Here is a 24,425-nt window from a genome sequence, read left to right on the forward strand (position 1 = left end):
ACTGAGAAACCAAGGTATTGGAAAGATCATGTACATAGATTTTTTAATCACCATAAATTGACAGATAATGTTGAAGAGAGTAACAATGAACCAAGAGCAAAAATCTTCAAGCAATGAGCCACCCACAGTGTGGATCCTCAGGGTATCATTAGATGTGCTGTATACTTGTACTTACATGGTAAACACACAACCTTGTGGAATGCTCACTTTCAATTAATTACTGCTAGCCTCAAGTTGACTCTTACTGGCCAACAATCATATTTCCCTGTCCATTTACTCTTATATTCTCTCAGTGACTGTTTCAAACTGTCTTATCTTTAAGCTTGAGTTTTAAGCTTAAAGATTCATTTTACTTCAGCCATCAAGGCCTAAGGTTAATGGGGAATTGAAGGTGAGAAAGGGAAAATATACAGGTTCATTTTTCTAAGGACTTATTTAGTTGCTTATAAGATGCAGAACTAGACTTCAGAGGAGTCTTTTGCTCTAAGTCTGGTTTCTGTAGTCTTTGATGGTGCTGCCTTATTTGTTTTTGCTCTTTGCTTTTTTTAATTTCTTTTTTTCTTTTCTTTTTTTTTTTTTGAGACAAAGTCTCACTCTTGTCGCTGAGCCTGGAGTGCAGTGGCATGATCTCAGCTCACTTATTCAAGCAATTCTCCTGCCTCAGCCTCCTGAGTAGCTGGAATTACAGGCGTGTGCCACCATGCCCAGCTAATTTTTGTATTTTTAGTAGAGATGGGGTTTCACCATGTTGGTCAGGCTGGTCTCGAACTCCTGACCTCAGGTGATCCACCCGCCTCAGCCTCCCAAAGTGCTGGGATTACAGGCGTGAGCCACCGTGCCCAGCCCTAAAAATTTTTTTTCATTAATTTAGTATTACAGTTTAATAAGTCAGCTAGTTCTACAACAGTGAATAAGATAAATAGCAGTCCACAGACCCTCTGCCTCATAGTTTCCCTTTCCCAGAGGCAACCTCTTTCAAATCCTTTTGCTGATTCTTTGATATGTATGTCTAGACCTCTAAATAGTTTTGTGCATTTCTATTTATTTTTTGCAATTTTCAGCTTTATTAACTTCTTTCCTTTGTAACATGAGGATTTAACTCCCTTTCCTGTGTCCCACCACTATCAAACCTTCATACTCCTCATCCTCCTAACACAGGGTCATGATTTTGGTTAAATCAAGATACAGCTCAGTTCCTTTTAGTATGCAGTTGTCCCTCAGGATCCATGGGGGATTGGATCCAGGAACCCCCAACAGATACCAAAGTCCACAGAAGCTCAGATTCATTATCTATGATGTAGTATTTGCCTATAACCTATGTACATTTTCCCATATACTTTTATCATCTCTAGATTACTTAAAATACCTGGTACAGTATAAATGGTATATTAATAGTTGTTGTACTATATCATTTAGGGAATAATGACAGGAAAGAAAAGTCTGCACATGTTTAGTACAGACACAACCATCTTTTTTCGTGTTTTTGTTTTAATATTTTCAATTTGTAGTCAACTGAATGCATGGCTGTGGAACCCAGTATACAGAACTCAAGATATAGAGAGTCAACTATATTTAGAGTTATGTAGTCATTAATACAATCTAATTCTAGAATATCTTCAACACCTAAAATGAGGGTTCCAATTTCTCTTATGTTCTTGTCAACATTTGTTATTGTCCATCTTTTTCATTATACCCATCCTAGCAGGTGTGAATTAGTGTCCCATTGTGGTTTTGATTTATATTTTCCTGATGGCCAGTGATGCTGAACATCTTTTCATGTGCTTATTGGCCATTTATATATTTTCCTTGGTGAAATGTCTATGCAGATCTTCTGCCCATATTCTAATTGGGTTATTTGTCTTTTTATTGTTGAGTTGTAAGCATTCTTTATATATTCTGGACATAAGTCCCTTATCATGTAATGATTTGCAATGATTTATTCTGTGGGTTGTGTTTTTACTTTCTTGATGGTGTCTCTTGACACATGTAACTTTATAATTTTGATGAAGTTCAGTTTATCTGTTTTTTCCTTTGTCACTTATGCTTTTGATGTTAAATCAAAGAAACTATTGCCTCTTCTGAGGTAACAAGGATTTACTCCAATGCTTTCTTCTAGTTTTTTAGTTTAGGCCTGTGATTCGTTTTGAGTTTATTTTTGTGTTATGGTGTGAGTTAGGCATTCAAATTTTTTACATATGGATATTTAACTTTCTCACCATCACTTGTTAAAGAGACTATTCTTTAGCCCATTGAATCGTCATGGCACCCTTGGTAAAAATCTGCCAAAAATCAATTGACCATAAATGTGAGGGTTTATTTCTGACTTCTCAATTCCATTGATCTATGTATCTGTCCTTATTATGGTTCTGCATTGTCTTCATTACTGTAGCTTTGTAGTAGGTTTTGAAATCCTACTTCTGTTTTCTTCTTTTATTTCAAGATTGTCTCGACTGTTCTGGGTCTCTTTTATACAAATTTTAGTTTCAGCTTGTCATTGTTTGCAAAATAGCCAGCTAGGATTTTGATAGGAATTGCAGTGACTGTGTAGATCAGTTATGGAAGTATTGACATCGTAATAATGTTAAATCTTCTGGTCCATGAACTTGGATGTCTTTCTATTGCCTGTCGTTATATGTACTTTTCTCTCTCTCATTTTAGAAAATATAAAAGAAAAGAATCATATGAGGCCATTAGAGAATACTGATTTTAAAAAAAAGTCATCAGTATTCCCTCCACTTTGACATAATTTTAAATGACATTTCCAGTTATTTTTTGAGGTTTTTCCCTTATACATAGAGATTCTTTTTAACAGAACCATAGTTGTACTGAATACGCATTTGATTTCTCTCAAGCCATCCTACCACTTCAGCCTCCCAATAGCTGGGACTACAGGCATGCACCACCACGCCTGGATAATTTTTGTATTTTTTGTAGAGATGGGGTTTCGCCATGTTGCCCAGGCTGGGCTCAACTATGAGCTCAAGCAATCCACCCACCTCAGTCTCCCAAAGTGCTGGGATTACAGGCATGAGCCACTGCACCCAGCCTTAAGTACTTTCTATGTTATCTTTTTTGCAACACTATTTCAAATACTACACTTGAGTAAATGTTCCATAATTTACCTAGCTATTCTACTGTAGTTTAAACATTTGTTTCAAATATTTTAAAACTTGGGGTTTTTTCCTCCCTGAATTTAGGGTCCCCCTTCCCATTAAAATAAGATTCCCAAAGGTGGAATTCTTGTGTTAATGACTATACCATTTCTTAAAATTTGTGATGAAAAGTATCTTGCTTTTAACTATGTACTTTTAGTGTGCCATTAATTATCCTTAGTATTAGAAGCCAAGTCACCAAAAAAGTTACATATTGACCAAATGTGAGTTGTAATAATAACAACGTTTAGCCACTATTGACTCCTAGCATAATTATTCTAAGGACCTACTTGGATTATCTCATTTAATTATGAAAACAACTGAAACTGAAGGTCAAGGAAGTTAGACTTGCTTAAAATCTCATAGCTATGAAGTTGTAGAACCAGAGTCTATAATTGAACCCTTGCAGTCTGATTCTAGAACACATGCTCAGAACCACTCTGCAGCACTGCCTTCTTTAGAACCTAACAGAGCAGGCTGGGTGCGGTGGCTCACGCCTGTAATCCCAGCACTTTGGGAGGCCGAGTGGGTGGATCACGAGGTCAGGAGATCGAGACCATCCTGGCTAACATGGTGAAACCCCGTCTCTACTAAAAATACAAAAAAAATTAGCCGGGCATGGTGGCACACGCCTGTAGTCCCAGCTACTCGGGAGGCTGAGGCAGGAGAATGGCGTGAACCCGGGAGGCGGAGCTTGCAGTGAGTGGAGATCACGCCACTGCACTCCAGCCTGAGCGACAGATCAAAACTCTGTCTCAAAAAAAAAAAAGAACCTAGCAGAGCAAGGCAAAAGTTCAGGTTAAGATCAGAGTAAGAGTTATGCCTAGATTACTCCATTTCTGGGTGATGCTAGGGTTACTCTGAAGAGCACTACGAAGCAACAACCTGACACGGGTTTTCAAAGGCTGGCACACTGACCATTCGACTCTCTAAGCCAGCTTCCAGCCACAGATTTGCTGCTTCTAATCACATTGCCATCTTGAAAATCATGTTCCCCTGCTTTCCCAAGCTTCTAATTGCCACGCCAACCTTTCATTGCTGTCCTGGGCTGCTTATCTTCACTTCTGGCCCTGGCTTGTAAACCCCCTCAGTTAACACATTAATTGGAAGGGTTTAAGTGCTAAGACATAGCCTCTTTTTCTCCTGCCCTACCTTTCCCAGCCGGCACCTGCTTCATTGCTTACCACTCTTTCCCTATGTTTTAGCCAGAGATCTCATAGCACTGTTGAAACCAATAGTCCTCAATCTTGGCTATGCATCATAGCTACTTGGGGAGCTTTTCAAGTCCGTGTATCCCCAGTGATTGATTCAATGGGACTGGACCTGTATTTTTACAAAGCTCCAAGGAGGTCTGTTATGTAGCGAGGATTGAGAACCTCTGGTTTAGGCATTATTGAGTGATAAAGTTGATTATCCTTATCCTAAAGAGAAGGAAACCCTACCTATTCTGCCTCAGTTGCTTGCTGCAGTCTCACAAGTCAGCAGGATAATTATAGAGTCAATTTTCTGATCCCTAGAACCTCACCTGTATCCTTGTCAGCAGTAATGAAACTTAACAAACATTGTTTAATAATTCCTTACTACGCACTATAGGGGCACTGGGCCTAAAGATGAGTAAACCATTATTAGCTGCCCTCGAGGCTCACAGTCTAGTCTAGGAGGCAGATTCAAAAACTATAGCACACAGCCATTAGCTGTGTAAACAAGGGGCTCTGAGAACCTACTTCCCCTGTGAGAGGAGAGCTCTGTGGGAGAAGAGGAAAGAAGTTGTGAATTCTTCACAGTGGAGTTAACATTGTCATCAGAGCCTTGAAACATGAGAAGAATTTCTGCCTGGCAAAGGAGGAGCTGACTTGGCAAGAAAACCACATGAACAAAGAAATGTGACAGTACACAGCTTGTTCAGGAAGCAACTAGTAGTGTCCTGTAACGTGATCCTAGAATAGCAAAGTACATGATAAGACTGAAAAGGCAGGCTGAGGCCAGATGGCAAACTCATATAGAAAGAAGCTGGCTGGGCACGGTGGCTCACGCCTGTAATCCCAATACTTTGGGAGGCCGAGGCAGGCGCATCACCTGAGGTCAGGAGTTCGGGACTAGTCTTGCCAACATGGCAAAACCCCATCTCTACTAAAAATACAAAATTAGCTAGGCATGGTGGCACACGCCTGTAATCCCAGCTACTCGGGAGGCTGAGGCAGGAGAATTGTTTGAATCCAGGAGGCAAAGGTTGCAGTGAGCCGAGATCATGCCACTGCACTCCAGCCTGGGCGACAAGACAAGACTCCGTCTCAAAAAACAAAGAAAGAAGCTGCAAACTGTTAGTAGACTCTGTATAATTCTTCGAAGGAACTGACTTTAGGAAGCATTTAGGGCAATAACTCAGTCTATGCTACCATGTCATCAAATCTCATATATTGCTTAAGGTCAATAAGGAGTTAGTCCACTTAAGTAGATGAAGTACTAAAGAAAATGGCATGCCATATTTAAATGTGTAGGCCCATATAATGGCATGCTATGCACCTGTTAAAAATAATGCAATGCATCTATGTGTACTTACATGAAGAGACGTAAAAATAAAAGAGCAAATGGCAGAACATGTACAGATATATATATAGTATAATCCATTTGTATTTTGGGGTTTTTTAAGGTCTGATACATATATACCTTTGTATGTGCTAAATAGGCACAGAGAAAATTGCGGAATGCACAAGAATGTAAAAGTGAAATGAAAAAGTTGAAAAGAGGATCCTGTTTCCACCCTCTTCCCCTCTGTACTGGTTGAATTTTTTTACCATTAACTTTCATACTGTTATAATGTAGTTACTGTTTAAAAAACATATACACACACTTAAATTTGACCCAGCATTTGCTAACCTTCAAAGCTAACAAAATTTCTTTGACCCCCATGGACCACTTCCTCTTTCACCATGACATCCTGAAGGAAGAGGAAATGCCCCAACTTTCCAACACATCAATTTCATACCAGCCTTATCAGTAAATACTCCAGTGTGTGCCATGCAAGTTTCAGAAACCTAGATACCTGGTTTGTCCCTGTCCCAGCTCTTCCTTCTTCCCCAATCCTGCCTTGTTAATCGGCATATTATAGGACTCATAAAATTTTAGGACTTTCTGCCCTAAATGTACACTTTGACCCACTTAAATGGAACAGATGACTGTGGCAGCTGTGCAGTGACTATTAACCTGCACCGAGGAGTGCAGCAAATGAAAACTTCCTTTTCTGCTGAAAAAAATAGCTGTTATCAAGCTCTAGAGCGTTAGTGTGAGAACCATAACCAGAGGTTTCATGAATAGGTCCCTGTTACTAAGTCCTTTTCATGGCATCTTATGACAAAATGGGGTTTTTCAGTAATTATCCTTATTAAAAGAGCAGTATCATTTTGGCTGGTTCTAAACATATGGTTGATGAGAAAAGTTTAGGCAAAAGTCAATTTGTAGAATTTCTCTCTCTCAAGGCAAGACTGCTTTAGGAGTGAAAAACACAGGGTAAAAAAAGGACAGGATAATTAACTGACTAAAGTGAGTACTTGCCAATCTTTATTTATGCTAAAAGAGAGATTGCATTTTTATATCAGCCCATCCTAAATTCAGCTGGATATAAATGCAATTAGGTAATTAAACTGAATTAAAAATTATAGTTAACAATTCAAAGGCTTTGTGACTGAGAATAAATAAATACCCTTGTTATTTGAAGACAGGAATGCTATTTCAGCAATCTAGAAAGCTCAGAAGGAAATTGAGAAAGTGTTGTCTGTGGTAGGGCCCGAGAGGGAAGAAGCATGAAGTTCATAAAAATTTGCCTGAAGTACTTGCCATTGTATGTAAACAAAGGGACAGGTACACATACAGAAGTCCTATTTACTAAGTTTGATTTGATTTACAGAGAGCAAGCACTGAGATTCTGAATGTTTTTTGCCTTGTGGAAAATAGTAGTCATTTGTAAAATAAAGTGGGAAGCCATGTGAGGCCTGATAACCTTAACAAATAATTGATTGAATGGCTTCTTGTGAAAAGAAAAACTATCTCCTTTAACAGATATAGAATCTGAGTCCAAAGAGATAAAGGGTTATGCCCAAGTCACATAGTAAGTGATTGTGCCAGGTTTTAGATCTGTGCATTCCTGTTTGAGAGCCCCTGTGCAGTGCCTTTCTGCCCTAGCATTGCTCAACAGTTTATATAAGAATGCTAATGGCAGCGTTAAATGTGTTGTAGAATACCTATACCTTAGAATACATTGTAGCTATTAAAAATGATAAATCTGTATTAATGTGGGAAATGTTCACAATATATTAAGAAGCAGGTTATTCCTAATTTTAAAATGGACAAAGGGCCTGAATAGACATTTCTCAAAAGAAGACATACAAATGCCCAACAGGTATATGAAAAACTGCTCAGCATCACCAATCATCAGGGAAATGTAAATCAAAACCACAATGAGATATCCCCTCACACCTGTTAGGATAGCTTTTATCAAAAAGACAAAATGTAACAAGTATTGGTAAGGATGTGGAGAAAAGGGAACCCTTGTACACTGGTGGGAATGTAAATTAGTATAGCCATTAAGGAAAACAGAATGGCAGTTTCTCAAAAAATTGAAAATAGAACTACCATATGATCCAGCAATTTCACTTTTGGGTATATATCAAAAAAAGTGATCGCAGTATGTGGAAGCGATACCTGCACTCCAATGTTCACTGCAGCACTATTCACGATAGCCAAGATATGGAATCACCTAAGTATTCATCAGATAAAGACAATATGATGTATATACACAATGGACTACTATTCAGCCTTGAAAAAGAAGAAAGTTAATGTCATTTGCAACAACAGGGATGAACCTGAAAGACATTATGCTAGGAGAAATAAGCCAGACAGAGAAAGACAAATACTGCATGATCTCACTTGTGGAATCTTAAAAAGTTGAACTCATAGGAGCAGAGAGTAGAATAACGTACTATGTACTTGAAAATTGCTGAGTAGATTTTAAATGTTCTTACCACAAAAATATATGAAGTGATGTTAGTTGGCTTGATTTAATCATTCTACAATGTATGCATGTATCAAAACATCACATTATAGCCTATATACACAATAAAAATAAATTTGCTTGAGATAAAATATTACGAAATAGTATATATATAGTGATCTCTCCTTTTTTAAAAAATTTCAATAGTTTTGGGGGAACCAGTGATGTTTGATTACATGGATAGGTACTTTAGTGGTGATTTCTGAAATTTGGTGCACCCATCACCCAAGTGGTGTACGCTGTAACCAATGTGTAGTCTTTTATCCCTTACCTCCCTCCCACCTTGAGTCCCCAAAGTCCATTGTATCATTCTTATGCCTTTGCGTCCTCATAGCTTAGCTCCCACTTATAAGTGAGAACATACGATGTTTGGTTCCATTCTTGAGCTACTTCACTTAGAATAATGGTCTCCAGGCCAGGCGCAGTGGCTCATGCCTGTAATCCTAGCACTTTGGGAGGCCAAGGCAGGTGGATCACCTGAGGTCAGGAATTCAAGACCAGCCTGGCCAACATAGTAAAACCCCCCTCTACTAAAAATACAAAACTTAGGTGTGGTGGTGCATGCCTGTAGTCCCAGCTACTTGGGAGGCTGAGTCAGGAGAATTGCTTGAACCTGGGAGATGGAGGTTGAGGTTGTAGCAAGCCAAGATCGTGCCACTGCACTCCAGCCTGGGTGACAGAGCGAGACTCCGTCTAAAAAAAAAAAAAGATAATGGTCTCCAACTCCATCCTGGTTCCTGCAAATGCCATTATTTCAATTCCATTTTATGGCTAAGTAGTATTCCCTGGTATATATATACACCACGTTTTCTTTATCCACTTGTTGATTGAAGGGCATTTGGGCTGGTTCCACATTTTTGCAGTTGCAAATTATGTTGCTATAAACATGCATGGGCAAGTGTTTTTTTCATATAATAACTTTTTTTCCTCTGGGTAGATACCCAGTAGTGGGATTGCTGGATCAAATGGTAGATCTACTTTTAGTTCTTTACAGAATCTCTGTACTGTTTTCCATAGTGGTTGTACTAGTTTACATTCCCACCAGCAGTGTAAAAGTGTTCCCTTTCCACCACATCCACCCCAATGATGGCCATTCTTGCAGGAGTAAGGTGGTATTGCATTGTGGTTTTTATTTACATTTCCCTGATTATTAGTGATGTTGAGCATTTTTTCATAAGTTTGATGGCCCTGTGTATATCTTTTTTTTGAGAATTGTCTATTCATGTCCTTAGCCCACTTTTTGATGGGATTATTTGGTTTTTTTTCCTTGCTGATTTTAAAACTGGAAAAGTTCCCTTGTCCCCCTTGCAGGGCGTGCGATGAGGGTGTGGCTTCCTTCTTCAATGCCCCGGTGCTCAGACCTCTACGGGAGCATACAGATGGGCAGGCTGTAGGGCTCCGACCCCACAGCAGTGTCTGGGGGTGAATGTTTATAGCTCCTGAAGCCCCAGTGGGCGTGTGTTACAGTGTGCTCTTTTAGTTTTGCTGTCTATAGGCGGCTTGTGTTAACCAGCTCTATTAGACCCCTGCCTTATCGCAAGGACAGAGGGCTTTCTGTATCCCGGGGTTCTTGCCTTGGTGTACCAGAAGACTCGGATCACATGTGGGCTTGGAGAATTTGAGTGCAAGGTTCCACTGAGCAGAAGTAGCTTTCCGCGGATGGGGGAGCCAGAAGGGAAATGGCTTTCCCCTGGAGTTGGGCCCTTGGCGGCCCCAGTTCTCCTCCGACTGCCCCGACCAAACTGCATCATTCCACCGGTTGATGCCCTGCTGGCCTGCCGGCCTGCCTATGCCTGTCAGTGTGCTCTTCTGCCAGCGTGCTTCTCAACGTCTGCTTGACGACCAGCCACTTGTGTCTTTCTCTGCCCATGTGTTCCTCACAACATCCAGCCACCATGTGTTCCTGCTAGGGTCTTGGGGGTTTTTATAGGCACAGGATGGGGGCGTGGCAGGCCAAGGTGGTCTTGGGAAATGCAACATTTGGGCAGGAAATGCCTGTCCTCACCTAGGTCTGTGGGGATGGAGCCCTAGCCAGGGATCACACCTTCTTCTGCCCAACACTTCCCTTCCCCCATTCCGTATCATTTAAAGGGACCATGCTCTTCCCTTCCCAGCACTCCCGTATCAATTTTTTTGAGTTCCTTGTAGATTCTGGATAATAGTCCTTTGTTGGTTGCATAGATTGTGAAGACTTTCTCCCACTCTGTGGGTTCTTTGTTTACTTTGCTGATTATTTCTTTTGCTGTGCAGAAGCTTTTTCGTTTAATTAAGTCCCATCTATTTATCTTTGTTTTTCTTGCATTTGCTTTTGGGTTCTTTGTCATGAACTCTTTGCCTAGGCCATGTCTAGATGAGTTTTTCCCATGTTATCTTCTAGAGTTTTTATGGTTTCAGGTCTTAGATGTAAGTCTTTGGTCCATCTGGAGTTGATTTTTGTATAAGGTGAGAGATGAGGATCCAGTTTCATTCTCCTACATGAGGCTTGCCAGTTATCCCAGCACCATGTGTTGAATAGGGTGTCCTTTCCCCACCTCATGTTTTTGTTTGCTTTGTTGAAGATTATTTGTCTGTAAGTATTTAGTTTTATTTCTGGGTTCTCTGTTCTATTGCATTGGTCTATGTGCCTATTTTTATACGAGTACCGTGCTATTTGAGTGACTATAGCCTTGTAGTGTAGTTTGAAGTCAGGTAATGTGATGCCTGCAGATTTGTTCTTTTTGCTTAGTCTTGCTTTGGCTATGTGGGCTGTTTTTTGGTTCCATATGACTTTTCAGATTGTTTTTTCTAGTTCTGTGAAGAACGATGATGGTATTTTGATGGGAATTGCATTGAATTTGTAGATTGCTTTTAGCAGTATAGTTATTTTCACAGCATTGATTCTACCCATCCTTGAGCGTAGGTTGTGTTTTTCCATTTGTTTGTGTCATCTGATTTCTTTTAGCAGTGTTTTGTAGTTTTCCTTGTAGAGGTCTTTTACTTCCTTAGTTAGGTATATTCCTAGGTTTTGCAGCTATTGTAAAAGGGGTTGAGTTGTTGATTTGATTTGCAGCTTGTTTGCTGTTGCTGTATAGCAGTACTACTGATTTATGTACATTGATTTTGTATCCTGAAACCTAACAGAATTCATTTATCAGATCTAGGAGCTTTTTGGATGAGTTTTTAGGGTTTTCTAGGTATACAATCATATCATTTACTAACAGTGACAGGTTGACTTCCTCTTTACCAATTTGGATGCCTTTTAATTTCTCTTTTCTGACTGACTGTGGCTGGCTAGGGCTTCCACTACTATGTTGAATAGAAGTGGTGAAAGTGGGCATCCTTGTCTTTTTCCAGTTCTCATGGGGAATGCTTTCAACTTTTCCCCGTTCAGTATAACGTTGGCTGTGGGTTTGTCATGGATGGCTTTTATTACCTTCAAGTATGTTCCTTCTATGCTGATTTTGCTGAGTGTTTTCATCATAAAGGGATGCTGGATTTTGTCAGACGTTTTTTCTGCTTCTATTGAAGTGATCATGTGTTTTCGTTTGTTTTTCTCTTAGAGTTTCGCTCTTGTTGCCCAGGCTGGGGTGCAGTGGTACCATCTCAGCTCACTGCAACCTCCACCACCCAGGTTCAAGGGATTCTCCTGCCTCAGCCTCCCAAGTAGCTGAGATACCACATCTGGCTAATTTTTGTATTTTTAGATGGGGTTTCACCATGTTGGCCAGGCTGGTCTCAAACTCCTGACCTCAAGTGATCTGCCCTCCTCGGCCTCCCAAAGTGCTGGGATTACAGGCATGAGCCACCGCACCCGGCCTGATTTTTGTTTTTAATTCTGTTTATATGGTGTATCACATGTATTGACTTGTGTATATTAAACTTTCCCTGCATCCCTGGTTTGAAATCCATTTGATCATGGTAGATTATCTTTTTGATATACTGTTGGATTTGGTTAGCTAGTATTTTGTTGAGGATTTTTGCATCTATGTTCATCAGGGATATTGGTCTGTAGTTTTCTTTTTTGTCATGTCCTTTCCTGGTTTTGGTATTAGAGTGATACTGGCTTCATAGGATGATTTAGGGAGTATTCCCTCTTTCTCTTTTGGAATGGTTTCAGTAAGATTGGTACCAGTTCTTCTTTGAATGTCTGATAGAATTCAGCAGTGAATCCATCTGGTCCTGGACTTTTTCTTCTTGGCAATTTTTTTATTACCATTTCAATCTAAGTGCTTGTTATTGGTCTGTTCAGAGTTCTTATTTCTTCCTGGTTTAATCTAGGAGGTTGTATATTTCCAGGAATTTATCCATCTCCTCTAGGTTTTCTAGTTTGTGAGCACAAATGTGTTCATAGTAGCCTTGAATGATCTTTTGTATTTCTGTGGTATTCGTTGTTAATATTTCCTGTTTCATTTCTAATTGAACTTATTTGGATCTTCTCTCTTCTTTTCTTGGTTAATCTCACTAATGGGCTATCAATTTTGTTTATCTTTTCAAAGAACCAGCTTTTTGTTTCATTTATCTTTTGTATTTTGTTGTTGTTGTTTCATTTTTATTAAGTTCTACTCTGGTCTTTGTTATATCTTTCCTCCTCCTGGGTTTGGGTTTGGTTTGTTCTTATTTCTCTAGTTCTTGAGGTGTGACCTTAGATTGTCAATTTGTGCTCTTTCAGACTTTTTGATGTAGGCACTTAATGCTGTGAACTTTCCTCTTAGCACTGCTTTTGCTGTATCTTAGAGGTTTTGTTAGGTTGTGTCACTTTTTTCATTCAGTTCAAAGAATTTTTTTAATTTCCAGCTTGATTTTGATTTCATTATTGACCCAAAGATCATTCAGGAGCGGATTATTTAATGTTGCATGGTTCTAAGAATTCCCTTTGGAGTTGACTTCCAATTTTATTCCACTATGGTCTGAGAGAGTACTTGATATAATTTTGATTTTCTTAAATTTATTGAGACTTGTTTTGTGGCCTATCATATGGTCTCTATCTTGGAGAATGTTCCATGAATGTTCTGATGAATAGAATGTATATTCTGCAGTTGTTGGGTAGAATGTTCTGTAAATACCTGTTAAGTCCATTTGTTCTAGGGTATAAGTCCATTGTTTCTATGTTGACTTACTGTATTGAAGTCCCCCACTATGAGATGAGATTCTATTTTTGTGTATTTCAAGGTTTTGCTCTAAGATTTAGAACTCCTTTTAGCAGTTTTTGTAAACTATGCTGGCTTGGTAGTGGCAAATTCTCTCAGCGTTTGAAAAAGACTTTCATCTTTTCTTCATTTATGAAGCTTAGTTTCACTGGATACAAAATTCTTGGCTGATAATTATTTTGTCAGCTAATAATTATTTAATAAGGCTAAAGATAAGACCTTTATCCCCTCTAGCTTGTAGAGTATCTGCTGTTAATCTGATAGGTTTTTCCTTTACAGGTTACCTGATGCTTTTGCCTCCCAGCTCTTAAGATTTTTTCCTTCATCTTGACTTTAGATAGCCTGATGACTGTGTGTCTAGGTGATGATCTTTTTGTGATGAATTTCCTGGGTGTTCTTTGAGCTTCTTGTATTTGGATGTCTAGATCTCGAGCAAGGCCAGAGAAGTTTTTATTCTTTTGCCTTTGTCTTTGTTGAATTGGGTTAATTCAAGAGCCTTGTCTTTGAGCTCCAAAATTCTTTCTTCTACTTGTTTGGTTCTATTGTTAAAACTTTCCAGTGTATTTTGCATTTCTCTAAATGTGTCTTTCATTTCCAGAAGTCATGATTGTTTTTTATTTATGATATCTATTTCTCTGGAGATTTTTTTCGTCTACATCCTGTTTTGTTTTATTTTTAAATTTAAGTTGGTTTTCATCTTTCTCTGGTGCTTCCTTGAGTAGCTTAATAATTGACCTTCTAAATTCTTTTCTGGCAATTCAAAGATTTATTATTGGTTTGGATCCATTGCTGGTAAGCTAGTATAATCTTTTAGGGGTGGTTATAGAACCTTGTTTTGTCATATTACCTGAATTGTTTTTCTGGTTCCTTCTCGTTTGGGTGGACTATGTCAGAAGAAAGATCTGGGACTCAATGTGTGCTGTTTAAATTCTTTTGTCCCACAGAGTGATCCCTTGGTGTGGTGCTCTCCCCCTTCCCTAGGGGTGGGGCTTTCTGAGAGCTGGACTGCAGTGATTGTTATTGCTCTTCTGGGTCGAGCCACCCAGCAGAGCTACTGGGTTCTAGGCTGGTACTGGAGAGTGTCTGCTAAGAGTCCTGTGATGTGATCTGTCTTCAGGTCTGTATGCCATGGATACTAGCACCTGCTCTAATGGAGGTGGTAGGAAAGGAGTGAAGTGGACTGTGTGAGAGTACTTGGTTGTAGTTTTATTTAGTGTACTGGTTGTCTTGAATGCTAGTTATACTAGCACTGAAGTTATTACATGGACAGACTCAGGACCTCTCTGGTTGGCCAAGATGTTACAGGCAGTAGAATTAGCTGTTATTTTCTGCTTTCTTGGAGCAGGGTTGTTCTGTTGAATTGCTGTAATGGCTTGAATTGGTTGGCCTCCAGCCAGGAGGTGGCACTTTCAAGAGAGTATCAACTGCAGTAGTATAGCGGGGGATATAAGCTTGCCTTACGGTTTCCTGGATAGGTTTTCGGGCTTCTCAGGCAATGAGCAGGGCCCCACGAGTTTTTGTCTTTTGTTTACGGCTACCAGGGCGGTTAGAGAAAGACCATCTGGTGGGGGCAGGGATAGTGTGTCTGAGCTCAGACTCCTTGGGCAGGGCTTGCTGTGGCCTCTGGGCGATGGGAGTGGTGGTTAACAGGCCAATGGAGTTACGTTCTAAGGGAGATTATGGCTGCCTCTGCTGCTTCATACACATCACCAGGGAAATAGGGGAAAGCCGGCAGTGACAGACCACAGCCAGCAAGGCCAGTCTCACTCCTGCAGTGCTTCCCCAACAGCCAACAGAACCAAATTTATATCCATGCCTCCAGTGCACAGGGTGGAGATCTTGCCCTAGACTACAAAACTCCCCGCCGAGAAAGCAAGCAGGGCTGTTAGGCCTTGTCCATCTGCCTGCCACAGCTTCTGTGCTCATATCTGCACTTCCTATTTGTCCCATCCCCCTGCAGATTCTGCCCAGGAAAATTCACGCTCAGTTGAAATCATTACAAAGTTCAGCTGAAAGTCTCCTTCTCCCTATGGTCCTTCCCCAATTCCATTGGCTGCCCTCTCCAAAGACCCCTGTGAGATAGTCAGAAATGGTTTCCCTGGGGACCAGGAGTGCCTACAGGGCTCTTCCTGCTGCTGCTTCTACTTTTATATTTTGTTTGGCTCTCTAAATTCATTTCAGTTCTCCTTCTCCCATGATCTGGATCCTCAGTGAGGATGTGTGCAGAAGTGGACTTTACCCCTCTCACACTGTTTTTTGTTTGTTTGTTTGTTTGTTTGTTTGTTTTGAAACGGAGTCTCGCTGTCAGGCAGGCTGGAGTGCAGTGCATGCGATCTTGGCTCACTGCAACTTCCACCTCCCAGGTTCAAGCAACTCTTCTGCCTCAGCCTCCTGAGTAGCTGGGACTACAGGTGCACACCACCATGCCTGGCTAATTTTTGTATTTTTAGTAGAGACAGGGTTTCACCATGTTGGCCAGGCTAGTGTTGAACTCCTGACCTCAAGTGATCCACCCACCTCGGCCTCCCATAGTGCTGGGATTACAGGCATGAGCCACCACACCCAGCCACCCTCTCACACTTTGGACCTTGAGAGCTTGTTTGGAGGTTCTAGCAGGGGAGCACATTTACTCGTATACCCTTGACTGAAGACCGATTCTCCTCTTATCAGGAATGGTTGTCCTCTTCGACCAAGCACACAGCTTCGGGAGCCCTCTCACACTTTGGGCACTCAATTTTTCTGCTGTCTTGTGGATTTTGCAGCAGCAAGCCACTTCTTTCAAAGGATCTGTTAATTCTTTTGTTTTTTCTGGTATGTTCCTGTGATAGTTCTTGGAGCCAAAGTTCACTATGTGAGTCTCCACATGCTGTTCTGTCTGTCTGAGTGGCAAATTAGTCCTGCCTCCTATCTGCCACTTTCCCCTTAAATCAGTCTCATTTTTGTAAAGAAAAAAGTTGAGATGTATAGTATGTATCACATGCACAAATATAGAAAGTATGCTAAACATGGTTTACGTAAGTGCTTTAAATTTTTTCTCTTTATGTTTTTCGGTATTTTGTCGATTTTTACAAGTATATATTTTATAATGGGATAGTTGGGAGGTTGGTGACTTGGAAAAGAGAAAGGAAAATGATAAAAGGGTGTGGTTGGAATCAAGTGATGTATACCTACTTACTGGCAAATTGACCCTTAGATGATTAGGTTAGCTATGATTTTTCTTGATGAGAATTTAGGGACTTTGTATGGCTTTCACTTCTGATCTTCATGATCCTCTCCTCTTTTTCAGTAACAGTAACGAGTAGCCAGAGTACTCCTGCCAAAGCCCCCAGGGCAAAGTGCAATCCATCCAATTCTTCCCCGTCATCCGCAGCTTGTGCCCCAAGCTGTGCTGGAGACCTCCCTCTTCCTTCAAATACTCCTACGTTCTCTATTAAAACCTCTCCTGCCAAGGCCCGGTCTCCCATCAACAGAAGAGGCTCTGTCTCCTCCGTCTCTCCCAAGCCACCTTCATCTTTCAAGATGTCGATTAGAAACTGGGTGACCCGAACACCTTCCTCATCACCACCCATCACTCCACCTGCTTCGGAGACCAAGATCATGTCTCCGAGAAAAGCCCTTATTCCTGTGAGCCAGAAGTCATCCCAAGCAGAGGCTTGCTCTGAGTCTAGAAATAGAGTAAAGAGGAGGCTAGACTCAAGCTGTCTGGAGAGTGTGAAACAAAAGTGTGTGAAGAGTTGTAACTGTGTGACTGAGCTTGATGGCCAAGTTGAAAATCTTCATTTGGATCTGTGCTGCCTTGCTGGTAACCAGGAAGACCTTAGTAAGGACTCTCTAGGTCCTACCAAATCAAGCAAAATTGAAGGAGCTGGTACCAGTATCTCAGAGCCTCCGTCTCCTATCAGTCCGTATGCTTCAGAAAGCTGTGGAACGCTACCTCTTCCTTTGAGACCTTGTGGAGAAGGGTCTGAAATGGTAGGCAAAGAGAATAGTTCCCCAGAGAATAAAAACTGGTTGTTGGCCATGGCAGCCAAACGGAAGGCTGAGAATCCATCTCCACGAAGTCCGTCATCCCAGACACCCAATTCCAGGAGACAGAGCGGAAAGAAATTGCCAAGCCCGGTAAGTCAGCAGTGGTGGGAAGATACATTTCCTAACTTAAAAGGGGCCAGACACCCAGATGTCTCAAGTCAGGATGCTTTTTTTTTTTTTTAAAGAAAGAAATCTATTTATTCCTAGTGCTGCCAAATTCAGCACATAAATACAAAACAAATTTTGCATGGGCCATATTTTTAGTAAAAATGTTTTATGCTAAGAAACTATTTTTGTTTGTCTGAAATTCAAATGTAACTGAATGTGCTGTATTTTATCTGGCAACTCTACTTACTCCCATTAAAATCCCTCCTGTCAGGGTCCATACTCCTCAGCCCTGTTGCCTGATTGACCAAAGCCTTCATCATGCTCCAGGATATCAATTCAAAAATATCTCCCCTCTCCTGTTAGACAGTATGCCATCCTCTTTTTATAGATAAAGCTGTTGTTCATGGGAAAGTTGCCAACATCCATAAGTAGATTTCCAGTTTGTAATTCCATTTTGTGATTATTTAAAATACAGTGAAACTTAGATACTTACAAAACAATTTGAGTGCAAAATCTTTCTAGATTTTTATGACTTCTCCACAATCTTTTATAATCATTTTGCCACACCACAGTAATACTTTTGACACCTATATCTATTCTTTTTAACATTCAGTGTAGTGTCACTTATCTTTTTAGGACTCATTTCATTGACTGACTTAATATTTAAATTAGATAATATCAGTCATCAGTGATTGATGGCAGAAATAGGTTTGTGAACCTTGAAAAACAAGATTCATTACAGTGGTGGAGGCAGAAGTAGCTGAGTGCATTGGGTGAGCTATGGGCACCAGTCAGAGAGAATAAAAAGCTTCTGTTGTTTGCATGTGAAGGGGAGATGGGTTAAGGAAGTTTCCACTGTACTTCACAGTAGCTCTTGTGGTGGCGGGATGATTGAAATAGAATCCAGAATCATGATCAGCATCATCTGCCATTTTAAAGGGCAGAAGCTAGATAACCAACCTTAGGCCAGTTTTAGTTTAAAAAGTGTTCATAACCCCGACCTGCTCTCATGAAGACCTATCCCATAATTTTAGAAAAATAAACTGATAGATTTTAAAGACAACTTAGTACACAAACTGCAATCAAGACCTTGCTGTAGAAAGTGGAGAAAAAAGACAGTTATAAGGAATCTTTCCTTCTCTCAAAATTATGACTGCTCTTTATCCCTAGCCAAAATTTCTATTTTTTTTTTCAAGGGAGCTGGTCTCAGCTATGTGTTAGCAGAAAAGTAGTTTCAATGAAAAACTATTTTCACTGATACATAAATCTTAAAATCTTTAAAAAGTAGAAACAGTGTGCTGGTCTTGTAATTTATTTGAAGCTAACATTTCTTAAAAATTTTTTACCTTTATATGATGATAATGTCAACCTTCAGAAGAGAGTAACATCTTCCATTTGAATACCTATCTTGTTTATAAATTGGGGGGGCTGATTTATTCATTTATTTCAAAAAGGATAGTAATTGTAACTTATTTGTTTCTTATTAGGAGACTTAGCTAGTAAATGTTTTCTATTCACATAAGAAGTCTATGCCTTCTTTCCCTACATATCATCTGTTAAGTTTTTACTATAGTCAGTACAAATCAGCCAAAAGAGACATTGCCATTGAAAGTATTTGGAGCTGAAAGCAGGCTAAACAATGAAATTTCTGGCAGCCTAATTTAAGGTATGCCTTAGTAATAACTTAGTAACAGTTGAACTTCAAGGAAATCTCTGAAATCTAAACTTTCTTCTTCTAGGTCACCATCACGCCCAGCTCCATGAGGAAAATCTGCACATACTTCCATAGAAAGTCCCAGGAGGACTTCTGTGGTCCTGAACACTCAACAGAATTATAGATTCTAATCTGAGTGAGTTACTGAGCTTTGGTCCACTAAAACAAGCTGAGCTTTGGTCCACTAAAACAAGATGAAAAATACAAGAGTGACTCTATAACTCTGGTCTTTAAGAAAGCTGCCTTTTCATTTTTAGACAAAATCTTTTCAACGCTGAAATGTACCTAATCTGGTTCTACTACCATAATGTATATGCAGCTTCCCGAGGATGAATGCTGTGTTTAAATTTCATAAAGTAAATTTGTCACTCTAGCATTTTGAATGAATAGTCTTCACTTTTTAAATTATTCATCTTCTCTATAATAATGACATCCCAGTTCATGGAGGCAAAAAACAAGTTTCTTGTTATCCTGAAACTTTCTATGCTCAGTGGAAAGTATCTGCCAGCCACAGCATGAGGCCTGTGAAGGCTGACTGAGAAATCCTCTGCTGAAGACCCCTGGTTCTGTTCTGCCTCCAACATGTATAATTTTATTTGAAATACATAATCTTTTCACTATGCTTTTGTGGGGTTTTTTTTAAGTATGTGTAAAAATGTGATGCTCAGATAAGTACATTTATATCAGTTCAGTGTTAAAATGCAGTCTCTTGAGTTAAAGTCATCTTTATTTTAAATGCAGTGATAAATGTCAACTCTTCGGAGAAACTAGGAGAACAACAACAGAAAGCTGTGTTTGTCTTTTTTCTCTCAAATATATCTCCCGTATGAGATTTCAGGTCCCCATGTTTTCACCAAGCAATCTGCTATGTCAGCCAACCCAACATCACTTTCTACAGGAGGTTATGATTTTTGCCATTTACTAGAGGAAGATGTTTTATGAAATCAATTTGGGGTTTGAATTCAGGTGCAGTCATCAGTTCTTTAGGGGCTGCAATGTTTTAAAAAAAATAAGTCATCAGATTTTAAGAAAAAAGTGATGATTTCTTATTGATATTTTTGTAACAGAATATAGCTCTTAACTGAAAATCCAGAACCAGAAACATAAATCTTGAGTTTCTTTTCATGTACATAAAAAGCAATAGCCTTTTAGTATAGATAGCCCTGAGCCAAAAAGTAATAGAATTTTCTCTAGATATTTAATACAGAGAGTGTATAGACTGACTCTAAGTTAATAATGTGCAAAATATCTTAAACATCCCTCCCCTTATTCAACAATTATGTATCAGTGATCTTGAACCATTGTTTTATATTTTTCACCTTTGTAACCTCATGGAAAGAGGCTTTACATACTTTCTATGTACTATTTACTTAGAAGGGAGCCCCCTTCCAGTCATGAAACTTCATTTGTTTTATCCATATCCCTGAGGACTGTGTAGACTTTATGTCAGTTTTTGTCATTATTTGAAAATCTATTCTGACAACTTTTTAATTCCTTTGATCTTATAAGTTAAAGCTGTAACAACTGAAATTGCATGGATCAAGTAAGCATAGTTTTATCCAGGGAGAAAAATAAAAGGAAGCCATAGAATTGCTCTGGTCAAAACCAAGCACACCATAGCCTTAACTGAATATTTAGGAAATCTGCCTAATCTGCTTATATTTGGTGTTTGTTTTTTGACTGTTGGGCTTTGGGAAGATGTTATTTATGACCAATATCTGCCAGTAACGCTGTTTATCTCACTTGCTTTGAAAGCCAATGGGGGAAAAAAATCCATGAAAAAAAAAAGATTGATAAAGTAGATGATTTTGTTTGTATCCCTACCCATCTCCTGGCAGCCCTACTGAGTGAAATTGGGATACATTTGGCTGTCAGAAATTATACCGAGTCTACTGGGTATAACATGTCTCACTTGGAAAGCTAGTACTTTTAAATGGGTGCCAAAGGTCAACTGTAATGAGATAATTATCCCTGCCTGTGTCCATGTCAGACTTTGAGCTGATCCTGAATAATAAAGCCTTTTACCTTATCTGATGTCCTTTTCTGAGCTTTTTGCATTACCTAGAAGCAGTCTACAAAAAAGAACTATAGTAGTCAAGAATCCCTTCTACTTGTTCATTAAAATGTTTATTCCCAAAGTTATAATCTATTTCAAGCTGAAAGAGCTTTTAATAAAAAACATCTTGCTTGGATCAGACTTTGAGCATTTAAGATGGCTTGGATTACTTGATAAAGCAGGGTGGAGTGATGTAGTTCTTTTTCTAAACAAGTATTTCCAGCACAAACTTTTCCATTTGAATACATTCCAAGCACTATTGCTAGGATCCCGTATTAGAGTTTGCTTTTGGCTGTTTCAACACGGGCCCTTAATTAAATTTTGTGAGGATGACTGATTAGTGTCTTCAAATGTCTCTTCATCTGGACTGCACATTTAACTGATGTTGGATCAAGACCATGTGTAGCTACTCTTGTGTTGAGGGTCAGCCCATTATCCCCATCCCCAGCCCTAACAGCTTAAAACAGCTTTAACTCCCATCTTGAAATTAGCCTATGGCCATGTTCATAACATAGGTAGTGTGTGGGTTCAACAAATGCTTTTTGAGAGCCTGTCATAGCCAACACACTACTGCTCTTAAGTCTGTTTTTCTGCTTTTCCTAGTCCCTAGTTCCTTTTACATTGCTCTTAAAGCAAAGGCCAAGTAGTCTAACAGAGAAAAATAAATTCCACAACTAAGATAGTGTGGGCAACATTTTACAAATGTGTGTCAGAAGACAGACTGAGTGAAAACATTGTACTAGAAAAACTGAGTTAATTTCCTCCCTATGGCAATTCAACACAAGTGGTTTCTGCTTCATAATTCCATAAAGGGCTAAATGTAGGCCCAGTTGAGCTCTTGCAGTAGATCTCATTGCTTCTCACACAGGTCTTCACAGGGAATTCTTTGCCTGCCCTAGGTTTGGATCATGCCACATTACCAATTAACCCATTACTCATAAAATTCTCAGGGATTATGGTAAAAAAATTGGATTATGCATCAGTTCTTTAGATATTGGTTGGAAGTTATAGGCAGGCTGAACACATTTTGTTGGACTTGAGTTAAGTTTAATGCTTTGATGCCTGGAATACGACCCCAGCTTGTTATAAGTTAACCATTTTGTTCCCTAAAGTGGTAGCAAAACCTGTTTTATTTCTGAGCTGTGTTTGAGTGCAAGCTAAAAAGTGTAGGGGTTGTTAAGAAATGATATAAGATAAATTCAGCCTTTAAAAAAGAAATCACCTGAGCATATTAAGCAGCTTGTTTATATTGGTATGCCTGCAGCAAGCATATACATCACAAATGAGAGATATTGTGTTATTAAAGAATAGGCTTACTTGATCCCCAAAGTTCATCCCTTGCTAAGCCAGGAAAGAGGATTTTTAGGGTATGCAACCAGGTTCTTCACTTTGAATGTAAAAGGTTTAATATTCCATTTGTACTCCATTTCTCTTTAATTTCCTTAACTTGCCACATGCCCCTTTGTTTTGACATTCTGAATAGTTTATATTCAAGCCATTTTGTGAAATATGAATAGCACATTTCAAAATGCCTTTGATTGGAAGGCGTTTAAGTCAGCCAACATTTACATATCACCTGGGTGCCAAGCCCTGTGTGTGAGGCACCTGGTCTGCAAAGAGTTCCTTTCTTTATTTTCAGTTGCCAAAGGAGTCACTTTAATACTTCAGTAGGCCAGAGTCAGCATTTGAGAGAAACAGCAAAGATCAGATTTCAAGTCCTTTGAGTAAAGTTGTTTGTAATCAGCTATTATGTAGCAAGTACTGTCTAGAAGCCTACTTTTCCTCCAGGAACTTAATTCAGCAGCTGCTTAGAACTTTTAACTTCTCAAAGTAAAATACTTTTTGGATACATGTTTTTATTATATTCCTTATAAGGTTATAAATAATGGTTGAAAACATGATCCCTAGTGCCACACTGTCTAGCTTTAAATCCAAGCCCTAACTGTGTCCGTGGACAAGTTACTTAACCCTTCTGTGAATGAGTTTCCTACCTTAAAATGGAATTATGTGGGGCCGGACACAGTGGCTTATGCCTGTAATCCCAGCACTTTGGGAGGCCGAGGCGGGCAGATCACAAGGTCAGGCAATTGAGACCACCCTGGCCAACATGGTGAAACCCCATCTCTACTAAAAATACAAAAATTAGCTGGGCTTGGTGGTTCACGCCTGTAATCCCAGCCACTCGGGAGGCTGAGGCAGGAGAATCGCTTGAACCAGGGAGTCAAGTGGTTGCAGTGAGCCGAGATTGTGCCACTGCACTCCAGCCTGATGACAGAGCGAGACTCCGTCTAAAAAAAAAAAAAAAAAAGGATTTTTGTGGTTATTACATGTAAAGCTCTTAGGACAGTGCCTGGCACATAATACCTAATGTTTTATTAAACAGTTGCTGTTAGCTGTTAAGTATGGAGGGCAAGAGTTATTATCTATATTCGATACATGGACATAAAAGTTCAGCTCATTCCTGTTCCCTTTCCACTAACAGCTGCAGTCTGCAAAGGTCTTCACAAATCAGAATCAACTGGTAATTAAAAAAAAAACAACAAAAGCATGAATGTTGCCTGGACCTCCCAGTCCCAGCACTTTTCAAAAGGAGCAAGTAGGTCTGTGGGGAAAAATCAAGTTTGAAATTCATGACTTTGTCTCGCCAGGTACACATGAAAATTACGGAGATTATTTCATATGTGGCCTGTAGCCACTGTTCAAAGAGACCATAATCTTCAAATCTATATCCTGAACTCTTAAACAAACCAAAGCCTTTGCTCACACAAAGCCCACCCTCCCATTTCCTGACTGCTGCCCCCAGCTCTGCTACATTGTTTAAGATGTGATCACCTTTAGAGAGGAAGCTGCAGCTGCTGGTCTTTAGAGCCAAGAGCCAACTCGTACTTGCTTGTTGGGCTATTGTGCTCTCTTGCTTATGAGCAGACAAATAAAATAGGTAAAGTTCAAAACAAGCCATGTTGCTGTCTGTTAGTAGTAGGATACAAAAGAAGATTCAAACATTTCATTGAAGTATAATGAAGACTCTAGATTCTTTGCTCTCACTTGATGAGATTCTTCCCCAGGCTACTCTGTTTTTGATGCCAATAAAACTTGTCATTCTCACATCAGTGTGAAAATACCAGCCCTGAAAGTTAGCTTGATATTTGGGTGTATAAATCCAACATTGGGGTTTCAGCTGTCATCTAAGCAT

The 24,425-nt window shown here is 39.6% G+C and overlaps 1 protein-coding gene and 1 pseudogene across 5 annotated transcripts in view; one reads left to right on the forward strand and one right to left on the reverse strand.

Annotated features, from left to right (window-relative positions):
* Positions 1-21,373, forward strand: part of DTL (denticleless E3 ubiquitin protein ligase adapter) — a 69,266-nt gene extending 47,893 nt beyond the window's left edge. For all 5 annotated transcript variants that reach the window (NM_016448.4, NM_001286230.2, NM_001286229.2 and 2 more), the window contains 2 exons: positions 16,612-17,444; positions 19,202-21,373. In NM_016448.4, coding sequence (NP_057532.4) covers positions 16,612-17,444; positions 19,202-19,300 — 932 coding nt within the window. In that variant the 3' untranslated portion in view covers positions 19,301-21,373. The remainder of the gene's footprint in view (positions 1-16,611; positions 17,445-19,201) is intronic.
* RN7SKP98 (RN7SK pseudogene 98) lies at positions 15,881-16,036 on the reverse strand (annotated as a pseudogene).
* Positions 21,374-24,425: the final 3,052 nt, after the last annotated feature.

The sequence above is a fragment of the Homo sapiens genome, chromosome 1 (genome assembly GCF_000001405.40).
Source record: "Homo sapiens chromosome 1, GRCh38.p14 Primary Assembly".
NCBI lineage: Eukaryota > Metazoa > Chordata > Mammalia > Primates > Hominidae > Homo > Homo sapiens.